The sequence below is a fragment of the Homo sapiens genome, chromosome 12 (assembly GCF_000001405.40).
Source record: "Homo sapiens chromosome 12, GRCh38.p14 Primary Assembly".
NCBI lineage: Eukaryota > Metazoa > Chordata > Mammalia > Primates > Hominidae > Homo > Homo sapiens.
In genome coordinates, this window is record NC_000012.12 from 87,995,888 (window position 1) to 88,017,520 (window position 21,633).

Genomic DNA, 21,633 nt, shown 5'->3' on the forward strand with positions numbered 1-21,633 from the left:
ATAAAAAGCAGAGCCTTCGATTTGTTCTCCAGCATGGCCTCTGAAATAGTCTGGTCCACAGAAGACTTTCATTCAATGACCAAATAATCTCTGTTCTGCCACTAGTGTCATTCTGTGATCTCTCTTTTGTTCTTCTTGGGCTAGTCTTACTTTTCTATTCAGAAAGAAAAATCTAGACCTCTTTGGCAGGGGGATTTATTTCAAAGACAAATAAAATGGTAAAAGCAAATTATTTACAGCATTACCCCATGGAGTGTGTAGTGTCATTACGTGTTAATGAAGTCTATTCATTCTGTCACCTCTCTAGGATAACATAATCCCATTAATAGCAGCTTTGGGTCATCCAATACAAACACTTTCTTCTAGTGCTCAATTACGATGTATTATTTATCACTTTATTCTTCTGTACATCATACTAAATAATTCAGTCTATCACACCAAGTATATGTTATAGATCACTATGAATGCTGCCTTTTCATTTCTTACCTTCTTGCAATTCACTGCCATTTTCCAAAGGCTTTTCTAACTGTTTTTCTGCTGTAGGTGTCATGCTTTTTGATGACAAAATATCTGGAGGAGTATGAAATCTGTAGTATTCCCCTAATCAACCATAAGAAAAGTAATGGTTAGTATATTTATCACATCAAGTATTAGAAAATACAAAAATGTTTGATTTCTTACCAGATTTATAACACATCTCCTTTATTGCTCTTTTTTCTTCAATTTCTTCAGGGGTCTTTGTCCATAAACTAGAAGCATCTATAGGATATAGATTTTTTAAATTAAATTGTCCCAAAGCCAATTAATCTGAAAATTTATAAACCAGAAAGGAAAACCCCAAATACTGTTCTCATGGATAGATTACTTTTTTATATTTCTAAAATCAATAATTTTACATACTAGTACATGTTTCAAATTGCTACATTTTAAGTATTCAAAACAATGTCAAGAGAAAACAAAGGGCTATGTATTATGTACTTTGAAATGAGACGCTGAATGTACAGACTCAATGTTGAGATGGTGTATGTTTATTTCGAGGTTGATGTAGGCATGAGAGACATGGAGCTGCAGCACACAGAAATAGTAATAAATAGCTCAGTGTACTCCTAAGCACAGAAACTATGGTGTCCCGTAGTCCATAGAAGGACATATTCCAGCACAAAGACAGATCGAGAGTTTTTCTTCATGTTTATCTTGTATATACACACTTTCTGGCACCACTGTGCTGGGTTGATATGGGAGGCAAAGGATGAACTAAAATGCAAAAGACATGGGTCCTAAGCCTGTTCATACTCTTGTGAGGATGACTTAGAATAATGCAGATGACAGTGATTTATAGATTATTAACTACTACATAGATCTCTATAACTTCCAGGATTAAATGTGAAACTGATATATTATTAATACATATGTAGATAAACAGATACACTTGTGCATCAATGTTTTAGAAACATATATAAAAAACATAGCTTATTAGTATCTCTATAAGCATCTGTAGATATATAAATATCTATATATATACATTTATATAGATATACATTTTACTTTAAGTTCTGGGATACATGTACAGAACGTGCAGGTTTGTTACATAGGTAAACACATGCCATGGTGGTTTGCTGCACCCATCAACCCGTCATCTACATTAGGTATCACTCCTGATGTTATCCCTCCCCTGGCCCTCCACCCCACAACAGGCCCTAGTGTGTGACATTCCCCTCCCTGTGTCCATGTGTTCTCATTGTTCAACTCCCACCTATGAGTGAGAACATGTGGTGTTTGGTTTTCCATTCTTGTGTTAGTTTGCTGAGAATGATGGTTTCCAGCTTCATCCATGTCCCTGCAAAGGACATGAACTCATCCTTTTTATGACTGCATAGTATTCCATGGTGTATATGAAGCACCTAAATATACTTAAGCATCAGATCTGTCTCCCAGCTATCGTACAACAAAAACTTTCCAATCCAAAAGATCATAAATATGTAGCAAATTAGAACATAATGAATTAAATTAGTTTAATACAATTATAGTTATTTTCTCAGCAAAATCTGCCTTATATATTACATCATAAACCTTTACAGTTAAACACATATGTAAAAAATGTGAGGTTTTTGAATGTGTATTGTAAACCTGAAAAAAGTTCTACTAACCATTTTGTTCATCTACTTCCTCTTCTTCCTCAAAATTAGTTTTTAAAACTAAAGGATGGTGGATGGGTCGTGATATATTTTCCTGAGGTTTCAGAGGTTCTTGACTCTGGGACTGGAGTGGAATTCCTTCCTGAATTTCTTTCTGTAGTGTGATATCTGCAGAGAAAATGCAACATTTCAGTCTGTTCAAGATATATGTGATGATAAGTAGATGTAACAATCAATCATTGCCCTCCTAATTAACTATATATTATTTTAAAATGTGTACAATAATAATACATTAATGGATTGTGTTTCTACACACTAGCAATGATTAAACTGAAAATGAAATGAAAAATAATCCCACTTACAATAGCATCAAAGAGAAAAAAGTATTTAGGAATTAATTTTAACATAAGATGTGCAAAATTTATATTCTGAAAAAGATTCTGAAAATATATATATTGAAAAAGATTTTTATCTTATTTCAATAAAATAAAAATATTGTTGAAAGAAGTTAAAGAAATGTTGAAATGGAAAGATATCCTTGTTTATGGACTGATTTGTATTTGGTATGGCAATATTTTCCGAATTAATCTATAGGTATGATACAACTCTTATCAAAATCCCAATGGACTTATTTGCAAAAATTGAGAAGCTGATTCTAAAATTTATATGGACATTACTACAAAACTAAAGTAATCAAGACTATCTGGACTAGCATAAAAATAAAAGTAGATCGATGTATCATTGGAATAGGACTGCAAGACCAGAACTAAATCTTTATATGAATCAATTTATGCTCAGCTGATTTTCAAAAAGGGTACATAGACCATTCAATGGGGGAAAAAATAGTATTTTCAACAAATGTTGCCGGGACGACTAGATTGCCACATGCAAAGTAATTAAGTTGCACAACTTCATCACATTAGAAACAAAAATTCATGCAAAGTGGATGTAAGAACAAAATGAAAGATCTGACACTATAAAACTCATAGAAGAACCCTTAGGTCATGAAAAGTTTTTTAGATATGACACCAAAAGAAAAAGCAGTCAATGAAAAGTAGCCAGCCCCCTGGCACATGGGGGTGAGCCATGATAACACCTGCCAACAAGTCCCAGATTTTGCTGGAAAGCAGTTCCCAGCCCTCTCAGCCAGATAATGAAGAAACACTCAGAACCCCAAGGTGACACAGAAAGAATAAATAAGATCCAGCCTGGGCAACATGGCTAAACCCTATCTCCACAAAAAAATACAAAAATTAGCCAAGTGTGATGGCGCACACCTGTAGTCCCAGCTACTCAGGAGGCTGAGGTGGAAGCATCACTTAAGCCTGAGAGGTTAAGGCTGCATTTAGCCGAGATCATGCCACTGCACTCTAGCCTCAGCAACAGAGCAAGACTCTGTTTCAAAACAAAAACAAAAACAAACAAAACCAAATGAGATATCACTTCATACTACAACGATTACAATGATTAATTTCTTTACTAAAAAGACAATAACAAGTGTTGTCAAGGATGTGAAGAAACTAGAATCTTTGTACACTGCAGTTGGGAATGAAAAATGCTGCAGCTACTTTAGAAAACAATTAGGCAGTTCCTCAAAAGGTTAAATATGGAGTCATCACATGTCCCATCTATTCCATTTTTAGCTACATACCAAGAGGTGTGAAAATATATGTCTATATTATACAAATGTAATCATTTGTACACAAATGTTTATATCAACATTATTTATAATAGTCAAAAAGTGGAAACAACCTAAATTTCCATTGTCTGATAAATGGATAAATAAAATGTGGCATATCCATAGAATGGAGTGCTATCTGGCTATAAAAAGTAATAAAGTACTGTTGCATGTGAGAGCATGGATGAATTTTGAAAACATGCTAAGAGGAAAAAGTCATTCACAAAAAATAATATATTATATGATTCCATTTATACAAAATATCAAAAATAGATATATTTATAGAAACAAGAAGTAAAGTAGTGACTGTGTAGGTTTTGGGAATTGGAAAAAAATGAGGAGTAACTGTTAATGAATGTGAGTTTGTTTTTTGGAGTGATCCAATGTTTCATTGGAAAGAAATGAGAGGTAACCGTTAATGGGTGTGGATTTCCTTTTTAAAGTGATCCAATGTTCCAAAATGGAATATTGTTCTTTGATCCATTTTGAGTTAATTTTTGTTTATGATGTGATGCAGTTGTGCTACTTAATTACTTTGCATGTGACTATCTAGTTGTCTTAGCACCATTTGTCGAAAATACTATTCTTTTCCCCATTGAATGATCTATATGCCCTTGTTGAAAATCAATTGAGCATAAACTGATTGATATAAAAGTTTATTTCTGGTCTTACAATCCTGTCTCAATGACATATAGATCAATTTTTATGCTAGTCCATATAGTCTTGATTACTTCAGTTTTGTAGTAACTTGTAGATTTTGAAATCAGGAAGTGTAAGTCCTCCAAATTTGGTTTCCATTTTCCTGATTTTTTTTCACTATTCTGGGTCCCTTAAATTTCCATATAAATTTTAGAATCAGCTTCTCAATTTCTGCAAATAGGTCCATTGGGATTTTGATAAATTCTACATTAAACCTGTGGATCAATTTGGAGAATACTGGCATACCAACCACAAAGTCAGTCTATGAACAAGGATATCTCTGTTTTTCAAGGTTTTCTTTAATTTCTTTCAACAATCTTTTGTAGTTTTCGAATATAAACTTTGCACATCTTATGTTAAATTAATTCCTAAATATTTTTTCCTCTTTGATGCTATTGTAAGTGGGATTTTTCTCATTTCACTTTCAGTTTGTTCACTGCTACTGTAAAGAAACACAATCCATTACTGTATATTAATATTGTATCCTGCAATGTTGCTAAATTTATTTCTAATAATTTTTAGATTTCTAGAATTTTCTAAATAAAAGATCATGCCATATGCAAATAGAGATAATGTTGCTCTTTCTTTCCAATACAGAAGCCTTTTAGCTGATGATGTTGCAACAATTTCCCTGTCTTGACTGCAAATGACAAGAATGAACAACCTTGTCTTCTTCCCAATCTTAGGGGTAAAGCTTTCAGTATTTCATCAAGTATGCTATCAGCTGTGGATTTTTCATATATATTCTTTATCAGGTTGAAGAAGTTTTCTTCTGTTTCTAGCTTGTGGAATATTTTTTATAACGTATGTGTGTCAAATTTTTATCAACTGTTTTTTATTCATCTGTTAAGATGATCATGTGTCTTTTGCTCTTTATTATATTATTGTGGGTATATTATTATTATTATTATTATTACAGAAATTGATTTTGGGAAGTTAAACCAACCTTGTTTCTGAGTTAATCTCACTTAGTTATGGAATATAATCCCATTTTAAAGCTGTCAGATTTAGTGTAATCGAATTTTGTTGAGTATTTTTCAGTGTCTATATTCATAGGAAAAGTTTGGTCTGCAGTTTTCGTCTGATGTCTTAGAACATCTCATAGACATGAGTTGGAAAGTGTTGCATCATCTTTTTTTTTTTTTGGAAGAATTTATGACAAATTAGTACTAATTTTTCTTTAAATGTTGGTTACAATTCAGTATTGGAGCCATCTGAGCCCAGATTTTAATTGTGGCAATGTTTTCAAATACCCAATCAATCTCTTTATTCCTATAGATGTATTCAATTTTTTTCTTTTTTTCTAGAGTCAGTGATGGTAGTTTGTGTCTTTCTAGAAATTTGTCTATTTTATATAAGTTATCTAATTTGTTGAAATATAGTTGTCCACATTATTCCCTTTTAATTCTTTTTATTTTCATAATATTGGGAGTGATGTCTCATTTTTTATTTCTGATTTTAGTAATTTCAACCTATCTCTTTTTTTCTTGGTCAGTCAAGTTAAAGATTTTTAATTTTCCTGATTTTATCAAATAACCAACTTTTGATTTCCCTGATTTTCTCTATTGGTTTTCTTTATTCATATTCTCTAGTTCATTAATTCCTGCTTTAATTTTTATTATGTGCTTCATTCTGTTTGCTTTAGGTTTAATGTGCTTTTCTTTTTCCAGTGTCTTAAGGTATAAGTCTAGGTTATCTATTCGAGATTTTTAAAAAATATATAGGCATTTACAACTTATATTCTTCTAAGCACTGCTTTACTTCATGTCATGAGTTTTGGTATGCTATGTTTTACTTTTACTAAACACAAAGTATTGGCTGATTACCCTTGTAATTTTCTTGTGATTTCTTGGTTATTTACATGTGTGCTATTTAATTTCCATATATTTGTAAATGTCTCAATTTTTTTCTCTCAACTTTTAAAACCATTATATTCAGAAGACATACACAGCACAATTTCAATCATTTTAAATTTATTCAGGCTTACCTTATCACCTAGAATGTGATCTATACTGGAAAATGTTTCTTGTGCACTAGAGAAAAATGTGTATTTTACAATTGTTAAATGGAGTGTTTTGCTGATGTCTGTTAGGTCTAGTTGCTTTACAGTTGTTCGAGTCTTTTATTTTCTTGTTTATAATTGTTTGCATGGTATATATTTTCCATTCTTTTATTTTCAGCTTGTTTGGGCTATTGAATTTAAAAAGTGTTTTCTGTAGACAGCATATAGTTTTATCTTTAATTTTATTTTCACAATCTCTGCCTTTTGATTGAATTTTTTACCCATTCACATTTAATATAATTATTGATATAGTTGGATTTAGGTACACTATTTTACTTTGTTTTCTATATGTTTCATGTTCTGCTGTTTCTCTTTCTTTTACACTGATGAATATTTTCTAGTATAATATTAAATTCCTTTAATTCTTCATTTTTATAATATTTTCTTAGGTTGCTCTATGGCTTACTATATGCTTCTTAACATCAGAATCTATTTCACTTTTATACTAATTTAACATCAGTGAGATAGATATAAGAGGTTACTCCTATATAGCTCTATGCCCTCTTCCTCCTTTCTGTGCTACTATTGTAACATATATTACATTTCTATACATGACAAACCCAGTAATACATTGTTATAATTATTACTTAAGATAATTGTATGTTTCTTAAAGGAGCTAAGAGGGGAAAAAGATCAAGTAGGTATTTATAGTTTGTTCTATAAACAGAGACTATTAACCTTTTTATTTATAATTTCTAATTCTCATCATTTGTTCCTATGGATTTGTGTTACTATCTGGTGTCATTTCTTTGTCATCATACAGTTTTGCTTCCATCTGCCTCTTTTGTGTGGCTATTATTAAATATATTACATTTCTAAATGTAACAGACTAAAAAAAATTGTATGTATTGTTTTATAAAATTTTAAAATCAGATTATAGAAGGAAAAGAAATATGCCCTTATGATAGTTTTATACTTACACAACTACCTTTATCAGCATACTTTGTTTCTTCATATGGATTTGAAATACTGACTCAGGTCACTTGCTTTCCACCTGAAAGTTTTCCTTTAGTATTTCTTTTAAGGTAGACAAACTGGCAACAAATTCTCTCAGTTTTTGTTTTCTTTGAATGTCTTTGTTTGCCTTTTTATTTTTGAAATACAGCATTTAAAACTAGTTTTCTGGACAAAGATTCTCGATTGCCACAATTTTTTTTCTTTCAGTCTACAGTGATTACTGCCTGTATTGTTTCTGACGGGAAGGTAGCTGTTAATCATACTGGGGTTCTATTATATGCAATAAAACATTTTTATCTTGTTGTTCTCCAGAATTTGCCTTTATCACTGGTATTTATCTTTTTTCATATGATGTGTCTGGCTGCAGGTATATTTGTGTATATCCAACTTAGAGTTTGTTGAGCTTCTTGTATATGCAGATTAATTTTTTAATTAAATCTGGGGAATTTCAGCCATTATTTTTTCTTTCCTTACATTTTGGTAAAATGCCTCATATTTCTCTTAGGCTTTGTTCATCTTTTTTTTCATTTATTTTTCTCTTGATTTTTCAGATTGTATAATCTCCGTTGATTTATCTTCAAATCTACTGGTTCTTTCTTTTGCAGTTCTCAAATCTACCCTTGATCCCTTATAGTATTTTTTTCCCATTTCAGATATTGTGTGTTCAACTCCAAAATTTCAATTTGTTAGGGTTTTTTCGTAGTTTTTACCCATTGATAGTCTCTATTGTTGAGATGTTGTCATAATACCGTTCTTTACTTCTTTATGCAGGAGTTTAGGTCTTTGGACATATTATAATTACTGCTTTAAATCATTGTCTGCTCATGAACACTTTTCAAAAGAAGACATATACGCAGCCAACAAGCATATGAAAAAATGCTCATAGTCACTAATCATTAGAGAAATGCAACTCAAAACCACAATGAGATACTATCTCACACTAATCAGAATGGCTATTATTAAAAAGCTAAAAAAATAGCAGATGCTGGCAAGGCTGCAGAAAAAAAGGAATGCTTATACACTGCTAGTGGGAATGTAAAATTAGTTCAGCCATTGTGGAGAGCAGTTTGGCAATTTCTCAAAGAACTTAAAACAGAAATACCATTTGACCCAGCAATCCCATTATTGGGTATATACAGTCTACCATGAAGACACATGCATGTGTATGTTCATCACAGCACTATTCACAATAGCAAAGACATGGAGTCAACCTAAATGCCCAACAATGGTAGACTGGATAAAGAAAATGTGGCACATATACACCATGAAATACTACATAGCCATAAAAGAGAATGAGATAATGTCCTTTGCAGCAACATGAACGGAGCTGGAGGCCATTATCCTAAGCGAACTGACACAGTAATAGAAAACAAAACACTGCACCTTCTCACTTACAAGTGGGAGCTGAACATTGAGTACACATGGACACAAACAAGGGAAGAACAGACACTGGGTCCAACTTGAGGGTGGAGGGTGAGAGGAGGGTGAGGATTGAAAAACTACCTATCAGGTACTATGCTTATAACCTGGGTGACGAAATAATATGTACATCAAACCCCAGGACATGCAATTTATCTTTAGAACCAACTTGCACAAACAAACCTGTACCCCTGAAGTCAAAATAAAAGTTAAAAAAAAAATCAATGCATAGTTGAACATCACAATCCTCTCATAAGCATTCTGTTGCCTCCTTTATTTCTGTATGTGGATTATAATTTTCTGTTTCTTTGCATGTCTTATAATTTTTATTGAAAGCTCAACATGTGTGATAATACATTGTAGCAACTCTGAATATTGACTTCTCATCCTAAACCTGAAGCTTGTTGTTTGCTTTTTAATTTTTGAGTGACTTTGTTGGAATATTTTAGTAAAATTTATTTTCTCCCACAATATGCAGCCTCTGTTGTCATTCCTCAGAGGATGTAGCCTTGGCATGTCCACAGTTAACAGGGATAACACGGACTTTAGCAGGGCTCATTTTGCTCCATTCCCTGGTTTCTCTGTTAAGCTGTCCACCTCTGTTGGTATCACACTGAGATGTTAGCTTCCATTCATTGCTGGTGTAATGCCCCATTGTTTTCATCAATGCACTAGGGCATAAATTGCTCCACAGTTTAACCCAAGTAAATTGACTCCTTTGCAGAGCTAAGCTTTGAGCCCAATCTTTCAAGTTTGTTCCAATCCCAAAAGAACTCTTTTTATTTTATGTTATTTATTTTATTTATTTATTTATTTTTTGGAGACGGAGTCTCGCTCTGTCGCCCAGGCTGGAGTGCAGTGGCGCTATCTTGGCTCACTGCAAGCTCCGCCTCCCCGGTTCAAGCGAGAATCCATGTTTTTAAACACCAGGCGAAATTGCCTGCCCAGTAGTTACCTGCAAGGTGTTCCAGTATCCCCTTCTGGGATAACTAGAAATGGAAGGCCAGGAGCTGTTAATAGATCAGAAGTAGTAGACTAAAGATTGACAAAGGACTATGTTTTTTTGTTTTTTTGGTTTTTTTTTTTTTTTTTTTTTTGAGACGGAGTCTTGCTCAGTCGCCCAGGCTGGAGTGCAGTGGCGCAATCTCGGCTCACTGCAAGCTCCGCCTCCCGGGTTCACGCCATTCTCCTGCCTCAGCCTCCCTAGTAGTTGGGACTACAGGCGCCCGCCACCACGCCCCGCTAATTTTTTGTATTTTTAGTAGAGACAGGGTTTCACCGTGTTAGCTGGGATGGTCTCGATCTCCTGACCTCGTGATCCGCCCACATCGGCCTCCCAAAGTGCTGGGATTACAGGCGTGAGCCACCGCGCCTGGCCCAAAAGAACTCTTTTTAACTGTGTCTTTACCGGGTTGTCTTTGGTAAACTTCTAGCTGGTTTACAGTTTAGTTTGCTGCTCTCATGGAGCTACTAGCCTCCTCTTAATTGCTTATCCCCAATCACCATTGTTTTCAGAGCGTCCCTAATCTTAAACTTCCCCACACTATGTTCTATTCCAAATAAATTCAGTTCTCTTTCCGAGAGCTTCAGAGTTTTCTACTCTCTGCCTGCACAAAATCTCAGTGCTAATGCTAAGAGCAAGGACAGTCACTTAATTCTTTTGGAGTGACGCCCTGTTTTAAAATTGGGGCACAAAGCAGGGGTGGTAATTTCTGGTGTTTACAACTTGTGCCTCCTGGCATGGGACCTCTATCCATGCTCCAACTGAGGCAAAGGTAATTGAGGTCCTGTTATTCCTAGCCTGCTGCACGTGGGATAGAACTTTTGCTTTATGCTTGGGGCTGGATGAAAACAAGATTCAGGCCTGAAAAATAGAGCTCTAGCAACATGGAGTTGGGAATTGGAGAGGATGAGAAATGTTAGCAGCTTTCTCCCCCCAGAAAGGTACTATAGTTCTTGACTGGAAGCTGGACGTAGAAAGAGCTCTGTGTTCTTGGCTGTATCCATTCAGAGTAGAGCTTCTGTCACACTAAACAGAGAGGTGGTGAAAGGAGTGGGTGGTGGTTCCAATACAACTGACTTGCCATTTTTACTGGCTTTAGTATATTTTATTGAATTAATACGATTTCATTTGCTGTATGCCCTTAGGACAATTTCTTAACACTTGGAAACATTTTTAACATATAATTTTCATCAACCATTGAAATCAATTGTTATTTCACTAGGGAACAGGTTCATGGAATTCTTCGCAACATCATTCTGAAAGTAATCTAGTCATCACAATTTTTTAAATGCAAGTAGAATTATTTACAAGTTTGCCAAATTGTTCACAATATCTTAGAAAAAAACCCATAGATACAATTTTCAAATAAAATCTTCCAATTGAGATAGTTAAGATCTCTTTTATAATATTGTGAAATCTTCTAATTGAAGTGAGTCCTCATCTTATTTAAGTTTATAAAATGTTTACTATATTGTAACTGACTTAGCAAATATTAGAACAACCTGCTCGTTCTGAATATTAGTTTTTAGCAAGTGTCTTAGTCCATTTGTGCTGCTGTAACAAAATATCTGGGTAATTTATAAACAACAGAAATTTATTTATCACAGTACTGGAGGTTGAGAAGTCTAAGGTCAAGGCACTGGCAGGCTTGGTCTCTATTGAGGACTCCCTGCTTCCAAGATGGTGCCTCGTTACTGTGCCCTCTGGAGGGGATAAATGCTGTGTCCTCACACAGAAGAAGGCAGAAGGGCAAAAGGGCAAAAAGGGCCAAGCCCTGTGTGAAGCCTCTTTTATGAAGGCCTTAATCCTATTCATATTCAACATGGATTTTGGAGAAATACAAACAAGCCATGGCAGCAATATATACCTTTTTTTGTTTTATAAACAGATAAGAATAATTTTGATCATTAATTCACCTAATGAAGAGGTAATTTTCTTATATAATTGTACTTTGATATGCAATAATTATCAATATTTGTAATGTAATTGTTGTTTTAATAAATTAAATGCCAGTGATAATTGTAATAATAATTCAATCCTAAAGGCATGTTAAAGACCATATGGCTTTAAAAGTGGAACTTTATCATCGTTTAAAAAAATGAAAATTTAAATTTATATATATTTTTGTTATATTAATTTTAATAGGTGATCAATAAACTCAAGCATAAAAATATTAGGTTAGGGTAAAGATATGTGAAGAAAGTTAAACAGCAATAGCTTTTTTTTTTATCTTTTCTTTTCAGTTCAGGGGTACACGTGCAGGTTTGTTATATAGGTAAACTTGTACCATGGGGGTTTGTTGTACAAATTATTTCATCACCCAGGTATTAAGCCTAGTACTCATTAGTTATTTTTCCTGATCCTCTCCCTCCTCCAACCCTCTACCCTCTGGTAGACCCCAGTGTGTGTTGTTCTCCTCTATGTGTCCATTTTTCTCATCATTTAGCTCCCATTTGTAAGTCAGAACATGCAGTATTTGTTTTTCTGTTACTGCATTAGTTTGCTAAGGATGATGGCCTCCAACTCCATCCGTGTCCCTGCAAAGAATATGATCTCATTCTTTTTTATGGCTGCATGGTATTCTATGGTGTATATGTATTAATACCACATTTTCTTTATCCAGTCTATCATTGTTGGGCATGTAGCTTGATTCCCATGTCTTTGCTATTGTGAATAGTCCTAAGTGGCAATAGTTTTAACAGAAGGAAATAAAGAATTGTTTCTTAATATAAAGAATTATTTATATAATTCTTAAATAAAGAATTGTTTGCTTAAGCATTTTTTACCTATTTAAAACTGTGAAATATAACACATACACAGAAAAGTACAGAAACTATAAAATATATATTGTAACAAGTATCACAAAGCCAACACCTAAGTCATGTAATAATAGCCTCCTAAACATCCTCTTCATTCACACAATTTTCCTTCCCCATACCCACAATAGGTATCTTCATCCTAACCTATTGTAATCACTTTTTGTTTGTCCTTATGATCTCACTACCAAGTATGCATCCCTAAACATAAAGTTTAATTTTGCTTATGTTTGAACATTTTATAAATAGAGTTAAGCCATATCTATTCTTTCTTGCCTTCTTTCATTTAATTTTATCTGTTAAATACATCCTTACTCACCTGTTTCTCCTATTTTCATCACTGTCTAGTATTGAATGAATGTACCACACTTTATTTATGCATTCCACTGTTGTTGCACATTTGACGGTTTCTAGCCTTTGGCCATTACAAACTGCTGTTACGTGCATTCTTGTATTTAATACATGTATCCAGATGTACACAGTAATGGATTTCTCTAGGATATATGCTTCAAAAGTGGAATTGCTTGGTCCTAAGTTATGCATAATTTTAACTGGACAAGATAATGTTAGGCTGTTTTCCAAAGTACTCGTATCCGTTTATATATCCTTCTACAGTGCACAATAATTCCTAATGTTCTTTGTCTTCACCAAGAATTGATAGAATTTTTGATATTTGCCAATAATATGGGTATATTATATCTCAAAGTGCTTTCTGTTTGGATTTCCCTAACTATTAATAAGACTGATCATCTTGTTTGTTTACATTTTAATTTCTTCCTTTTCAAATGCCTGTTTATAAGCTTTCTGTTTATTGTTCTATGATAGCAGTTCTCAAGCAGAGACAATTTTACTCCCTACGTACTAGGAAATATTTGACAATGTCTGGATATATTTTTGGTTGTTACAACGAGGAGATTTCTATTAGAATCTAGTAGGTAGAAGCTAAAGATGCTGCTAAACAATCTACAATACATAAGATAGGTTCCAACAACAAAGAACTATCCAGTCCAAAATCTCAATAGTGGTAAAACAGAAAAACCTATTCCATTAGGTTCTCTGGCCTTTCTTGTTGATTTGTATTCAAGTATTGACTTCAGGTCTTTCCTTGGAGTCACATAAGCACACATGCTGCAAATATTATCTTATTTGGTGGTTTATCTTTTTACTTTTTTATGGTGTTTTTGATAAATACAAATTTTAATTTCAGTGCAGCCAAATTTATTCATATTCTCTGAAATGGTCAATATTTTGTGACCTTATTATCTTTTGAAGTATTCAAATATTGGCCTTTTACATTTTGATCAATAATTGACTCAAATTGATTTGTATCTATTGTGTGAGAGAGAAGTCCATTTTTCCCTCATTAACTGAAAAGACCACCCATTACTCATCCATGCTACCTACTACAAATCAAGTGTCCAATCCGTTTCCATAATGTAGTGGTTATCATGTTCACCTAACAAATCAAGTGTCCATCTATGGAAAGGTCTGTTTCCATCTACTCTGTCCCACTCACCAATTTGTTTATCCTGTGGCCAGTGCTAGACTGTCCTAATCTCTATCACTTCATAGGCCTTGAAATCTGGTTGAACAAGTTCTATTATTTTGCTCTTCTTCAAGCATCTCTTGACTATTTCTGGCTCTTTGCACTTCCATGTAAGTCTTAGAACCTGTTTAGTTGTAATTGAGATTATTATTCTTGTATTTTTTAAATAGATTATAAGATTAAAATTATTATAATCTTATAATAAGATTATAAGATTAAAATTATTATAATCTTATAATAAGATTATAAGATTAAAATTATTATAATCTTATAATAAGATTATAAGATTATTCCATTTATAAGATTATAAATGGAATCATTACGGCAAGATGTCATTAGATACATTTATAATGAGAAAATTTTTACTTTTAAAGCCAATATTGATAAAATGTTGAAAGTTACACCATTTCAACTAAACTTATAATGAAAAAATTTAATCAAAAATGTTGTAGTGGATATTTCATCAAAAATAAAGACCACTGCTCATCACACCTTTCTATTTAATGTGTTTAAATACATATCAGAAGGAGAAAGAGATAGGATGGGAAAGAGCACATATAGTTAACAGAAACTACCCAATTAGAAATATGAAATAAATAATTCAAGTGCATTACTTGACAACCAAGTAATGCAGTAAAACTTCAGACACTGGTTAAGTTTACCTCTCTACAATGGTTGAAACAAAAGGGTGCTGAATTTGACATGTATTATTATATCTTCATTGATTTGAGCAACTTTCCTATGAGATCACAAATACTAATGGTCTTTGCATTTTAAGAAACTACTATAATGTACTTTACATGAATTTACACATAGATAATTTTTGTCACCTTGATTTTTCTACCAAAAGCATAACTTCATGTCACTATGATCAACTTTGGGGTGATCACATATATTTCATATGATTCTTCTGAAAGACATATTTTTTATATATTATGTAGTGATTACCTATTATTTTTGCTTGTCCTGTAATCATTTTATTTCTCTTAGGTAAAGTGTATCAGAGTTTTTTTTAAGGGAATAACCTTTTTCCCATTTTCAATCAACTTAGTGTGAGTGAGGATGACCCCTGGGACCCAAAGATTAGCTCATCCCCTAGCTTGAACAACTATTAGGGATGAGCACATTTTCTACACCATTAGATGACATTCAATAATTGGGCTTTAGTTGCAGAAGGACTTACTTCTTCTGAGATTAATTTAGAATGATGATGATAATGATAACACTGATTACTCACTCTTTGCCAAGAATTCTAAACAATTGATAATGATAACACTGATTACTCACTCTTTGCCAAGAATTCTAAACAATTGAGTATTAATCTGTTAAATGTCTAAAACCCAATGCAGGTACTATTACTATCTCTACCATACAGATGAAGAAATTGGGCCAGAGAGACATTAAGTTGCCCATGTTTACAGTGGCAAATATGTGGTAGGTTGATATTTCAAACTAATCTGAGCTAGAGCTACTATTCTTAATATTTGCCTATTCTGCTTCCAAAATCTAGTTCTGGAGCTTCTGGAGTAACTGTAGTACATAGAGAAGGACACCTAGCTCAGAACTAAGGGTTGGTGAAGGAAACACGGATCCAGCTGGGTCTGAGGTCAGTTCTGTCCCTAATCTCTTTAATTATATAAGCCAAGAATTCCAGTTTTCCCTTAAATCAAATTGAGTTGGGTTTCTCTCCTTAAAACCGGTAATATACTGGAGTGGGCTCAGATAAGCACGTAGAATTGGCAAATTTTCAGGAATTTTGCAAGAATACTGACGTCACATTTATAGTTTGAAATTGGCCGTAGAGAAAATATTTGCTTCACAGCAAATGACAAATGTGAACCAACAGAGCTGTTTTGTTTTGCATTTTTTCCCATTTGTTTTTTGGGGTAGGGGAACAAGGTGGGGGAAAGGAGCCAGTTAAAACATTTAGCACTACTCCACTCTTTATGACCAAGGGAGTCGGAGTCTCTACAAGGGAGTACTTATGAGAGACTACTATATCGCATCATGCCAGGGCATTTCATACATGAACATCTACTTTCTATGCTTTGTCAATTTTCAAAACAAATTCAGTTTTTTTTAAACAGATGTCATAAATGCAATCATAATGCAGTATTTCCTACTCCCATAAATACCTCCATAGCTAGAACACACATGCAGTACAAAACACATAGGTTAAAAGAGCCTTTTGTATAAACGAATTATTTATAACTAAACAAATTGTTTTCATTTAGACTCACAGGAATTGGGCACTGTTCTTCTCTTGTCCTTCAAAGAGTACAAGAAATGCTAATTTTTGTAAAATTCACAGAGCAGAGGTTCTTCGCAAATTATTTTTCTTCCCTTTTCACTAATTCTTTAAGAGCACCTCCATGGAATAGTTTGGTTAGGGCATTAGGGCAAATCTATACAACACTTGTGTAAATTTTAAAATAACTGACTGATCTTCTTTGTACTATTTTTGCAAAACAAAAGTTTAATCTAAAAGTAATTAGGAGGAAATAAATGAACAAATCCCCAATTTAAAAGATATCCTACAAAGCAACTAACCTGAACTCTTTTAAAATGTATATGACATGGGGAAGGGTGCAGTGGTTCATGCCTGTAATCCTAGCACTTTGGGAGGCCAAGGTGAGTGAATTGCTTGAATCCAGGAGTTGAGACCGGCCTACATAATATGGTGAGATACCATCTCTACCAAAAATTACAAAATTAGTCGGGCATGGCGTCATGAGCCTGTGGTCCCAGCTACTCAGGAGGCTGAGGTGAGAGGATCACTTGGGCCCAGGAGGAAAAGGAAGCAGTGAGCTGTGTTCACACCACTGCACTCTGGCCTGGGCAACAGAGCAAGATCCTGTCTCCAAAAAATACACATGTATATGACAAGGAAGAAAAAAAAATCCTGGGATTTTTTTTAAAGAGACATCAGATTTTTAAAAAGAGATTAAATAAAGAGACATGACAACCAATTGCAATGAATGATGCTTAATTGTAAATTGGATGGGGGAAAAAAAATAAAACTAACAATTTTAAGGCTGCTCTACCCAACACTTGGTCCCAAGAACCTATGAGCTTATTAGAAATTCAGAACCTCAGGCTCCAGCCCAGATATACTGAATCAGACAGCAGTTTAAACAAGATTGTCAGGTGATTCCTATACGTACTAAATTTTGAGGAAGCATTGCTATTACAAGTATTATTGGACAATTAGGAAAATTTGATACAGACTGAATATTACACATTGTTGATTCTATCATGTTAAATTCCCTACATATGATAGTCATGTGCAGTTATATAGGAGAATGCTCTTGAACTTAGAAGGTACATGCTGAAGTATTTAGCAATGAAGTGTGAGGATATTTGCAACTAACTCCCAAATGGTTCCAAAAAAACAAAAATAAAGAAATGTATATTTATACCTTATATGCAGATATGTAAATACAGTAAAGAAAAAAGAGAAAGTAAATGTGACAAAATGTTAATTGGTGAAGATAGGTGAAGAATACATGGACAGCTGGTGTTCACTGAACTATTCTTGCAAATTTTCTGTAAGTTACAAAATGTCTTAAAAAGTTGGGGGGAAAACAAAAGTATAATGAAGCATCAGTTTAATTGGTGGTTTAGGTGGTGGCTGAGAACTGTTTGGTTTTTGGTGGTTGTTGTTTTAAGCTCCCCAGGTAATTCTAACGTGGAGCCAGAACTGAGAGCCTGTGGGTGAGACAAACTTCAGATTGGGTATCCGGGCTTCTGAGCTTCACGTGATATAAGAGAACAAGTTTCAGAAAAGACAGGGAAATATAAATTGAGAAAGAGAAAAGAAGCCTTATTCAATGGAAGTACACATAACTCAGAAGTGCTAGAATATCTCACTCTAATACTGTAAATTAAAGGGGAAAGGCAGTCTTCTATAAAATATAAAAAACTTTAATAGCTTTGAAAAGAAGTCTATGGGGTAGAGTGGAATAGAATTAGCCCCTCAGAAGGCAGAAGACAGATCAGGAGGTCTGATGCATGGGTCATTCAAATGACAAAAAGCATTGGAGTATACTTTAAATGTTACGTCTGATTTTTGTGAGATACTTTTTTTAATTTTTATTTATTATTTATTTATTTTTTAGAGACAGAGTCTCGCTCTGTTGCCCAGGCTGGAGTGCAGTGGCGCGATTTCGGCTCACTGCAAGCTCTGCCTCCCAGGTTCATGCCATTCTCCTGCCTCAGCCTCCTGAGTAGCTGGGACTACAGGCATCTGCCACTACGTCCGGCTAATTTTTGTATTTTTAGTAGAGACGGGTTTCACCGTATGAGCCAGGATGGTCTCGATCTCCTGACCTCATGATCCGCCCGCCTCGGCCTCCCAAAGTGCTGGGATTGCAGGCGTGAGCCACCGCGCCTGGCTGAGATACTTCTAGAGTCAGACAGCACTATGTTTGAATTCAGAAACTGCCACTTATTGAGAGGTATTATCTTGCCTAAGATATCTGGCCTCTGTGGACCTCATTGTCTTCATCTGTAAAATCGGGAGATTAACTGTATCTATTCGGCCAGTTTTTATGATGATTAAATAAAATCAGGCACGAAAATTATCCAGCATAGCGCTGCCACACGTAATACACTTAACAGATTATTCTAAAACACTGGGTATGTGATTTTCTAATCTCTTATAACTCCACTTCATTTTTAAAAGCCATAATTAAACTGCAAGTTTATAAGTCCTAAAAAGCAAGATGTGGAGTTCTTAAACATGACTAACAAATGTTAAGCCTGAAGAAGTAATATTTGAGTTCCTGCCTTTATTTTTTTGCATGTTTTGATGCTCTTTGGACCTTGGATGAGAACAGAAGCAGTATGTAGTCAGGATAAAGAATCTGCCATCCAACACAAATTATCTCGGGGGCTACCATTTGATGTGCTATGGCATTTTCTTATCCCCTCTCTTCCTTCCCCAGAGAGGAAAGAACTAAGCTGAAGAACTTTTATCCTTATAACCATTATGAATTGTCTTCTTTTCTAAAACACACACGCACAAAAATTAGTGTGTGTGTACTGACTGAAATATTCAAGTCAAAGTGTTTATTAAATTATTTAAAAACAATTTATTAGCAAGTGGCTTTTCAAAACTTTAACTAAAAGGCAGATAATAAACACAGAGGCTAGACATTCTAAAGAAAGCTGACCAAAGTTTAATTTAAAGTGGCCAAATCAGTTGTCCAAGGCATCACTGGACACTGACCTAGAATAAATAAAAATCAAATGATCCTATTCAATTGTTCATTACAGAATAAAGTGGCAACTAGCCAAGGAAAGATGAGCAATTTCCATGTTCAAGCTAGCTACTGTGTTTGGAACAAATTTTTCTTCAGCAAAATATAAGAACTTTTTTAAAACAAGTTTGTCTAAGAGATTACACTAACTTCTAGTGCATACCATAGGAGAAAGAATAAGTGCCTACCAGGCTTGCAAAAAAGTACGAACTGTACTCAGAAAATGTCTAGGGAATTTTTATGGTAAATATTAACAGAATTATGTTTTCTTAGCATTCTCAATTGGTTTAGCAGCTATTTGCTTTTAAACTTAGAAATGATAACCAGAGAGATTATGTCTTTTAAAATTCCATGGTTTATAAACATGTAAATAAAATATATTTTAAAAGAGTCCAAAACCTTTTAAAATTCACTAGCAGGTTGAAGTTTAAATTGCAAAGAGAGTAACTGGCAGTTTTATACCCCTAGACAAAAAAATGTAGGACTCCTGATAATTGCACTTAGTGCTTAAAGATAACAACATACAATGGCAAATCATCTAATAGGAAATTGCCTTTGGCAAGTGCCTCATACTGGAAGAACACAGCCGGTGATTTAGATAGCACTGCTGTGGCTCCAACTCATCTACTTAATATGGACTATGTGACAGGTCTCAATTCATCAAGCAGAAGCCCTAAAGTTTCACAGGTTGCACATTTAAATATCTAAATTTTATCTTATTTTAACCTGAGACAAAATTACACACATTTGTACAATGCTCTGTATGAACCTATACTTAGCCAGTTACAGTTTGCTATGAAATGGTTTGTAATAACCTCACCCTAAATTTATCAATTAATCATATGCATTTACCGACACTCATAAAGGTAGATATTCACAAAGGTATTACTTTATAATTTAATCTTTGTCTAAGGTGAAAAGATTTATGGCCCCAGTTTTGGTTATTATGGGCATTGGTAGATAGAAGTTCCTGGAAATATCATAGGAAATATTAGGTCTGCCAGGAATCAAATTATTACTTCTGAGGTATTGAAATATTTCCAAATAAAGAAGCAATGCAGTAGTTCAATACATATTTCAGCTGAGCTTGTTAGTTTATCTACAGTCTGGAAATTGAATCCTTTTTCCTAGAGTACAGAAATGTGTCAAGCAGCGGGAAAATAGTTAACAGATTTAACATAAATAAATGCTGTTCATGGATTCCCGGAGTAGAACTGGCCACTATGTGAGAGCCAGTACTATGTGGCTATGTTAGGTGCTTGAGATTCATCAGTGAACAAAATAAAGATTCTTGCTCTTATGGTACTTTCATTCTATAGGGAGGAGTCACACAACAAATAGACATATTAAACCAGTAAATTATATTGTATCTGAGAAATCATAGGGAGTATGGCAATAAGAAAGTAGAACAAGGCAAGGAAGTTTGGAAGTGTGTAAGGCATGCTTGGGAAGGCTGACTACATTTCAAATACAGTGTTCAGAATAGTGTTATGTAAAACATATTTTAGCAAGGCTGTGAAGAAATGATGGAATTAGCCATGAAGATATTGAGGGAAGAGTGTTTTGCACAAAGCCCCTAAAGCAGGAACATGCTAATATGCACTAGGAAAAGCAAGTATACAGTATGATTTGAGTAGAGCAAGCAAGCATACGGGTGTGTGATATAGTTTGACTATGTCCCTACCCAAATCTCATCTTGAATTGTAACTTCCCAAATTCCCACATATCATGGAAGGAACCTGGTGAGAGGTAATTGAATCATGGGGGCGGGTCTTTTCTGTGCCGTTCTCATGATAGTGAATAAGTCTCATGAGACCTGACAGTTTTAAAAACAAGAGTTTCCCTACACAAGCTCTCTCTCTTTGCCTGCTGCCATACATGTAAGATGTGACTTGCTCCTCCTTGCCTTCCACCATGATTGTGAGGCCTCCCCAGCCATGTGGAACTGTAAGTCCATTAAATCTCTTTCTTTTGTAAATTGCTCAGTCTCAAGTATGTCTTTATCTGCAGCATGTCTTTATCTGCAGAATAAAAACAGACTAATACAGTAAACTGGT

The 21,633-nt window shown here is 34.2% G+C and overlaps 1 protein-coding gene across 9 annotated transcripts in view; it reads right to left on the reverse strand.

The window, feature by feature from the left end:
* The window catches only part of C12orf50 (chromosome 12 open reading frame 50), a 50,198-nt gene that overhangs the window by 15,853 nt on the left and 12,712 nt on the right, over positions 1-21,633 (reverse strand). For all 9 annotated transcript variants that reach the window (XM_017018888.3, XM_017018886.3, XM_024448865.2 and 6 more), the window contains exons 4-6: positions 2,148-2,303; positions 682-759; positions 487-600 (exon numbers count right to left, since the gene is read on the reverse strand). In XM_017018888.3, coding sequence (XP_016874377.2) covers positions 487-600; positions 682-759; positions 2,148-2,303 — 348 coding nt within the window. The remainder of the gene's footprint in view (positions 1-486; positions 601-681; positions 760-2,147; positions 2,304-21,633) is intronic.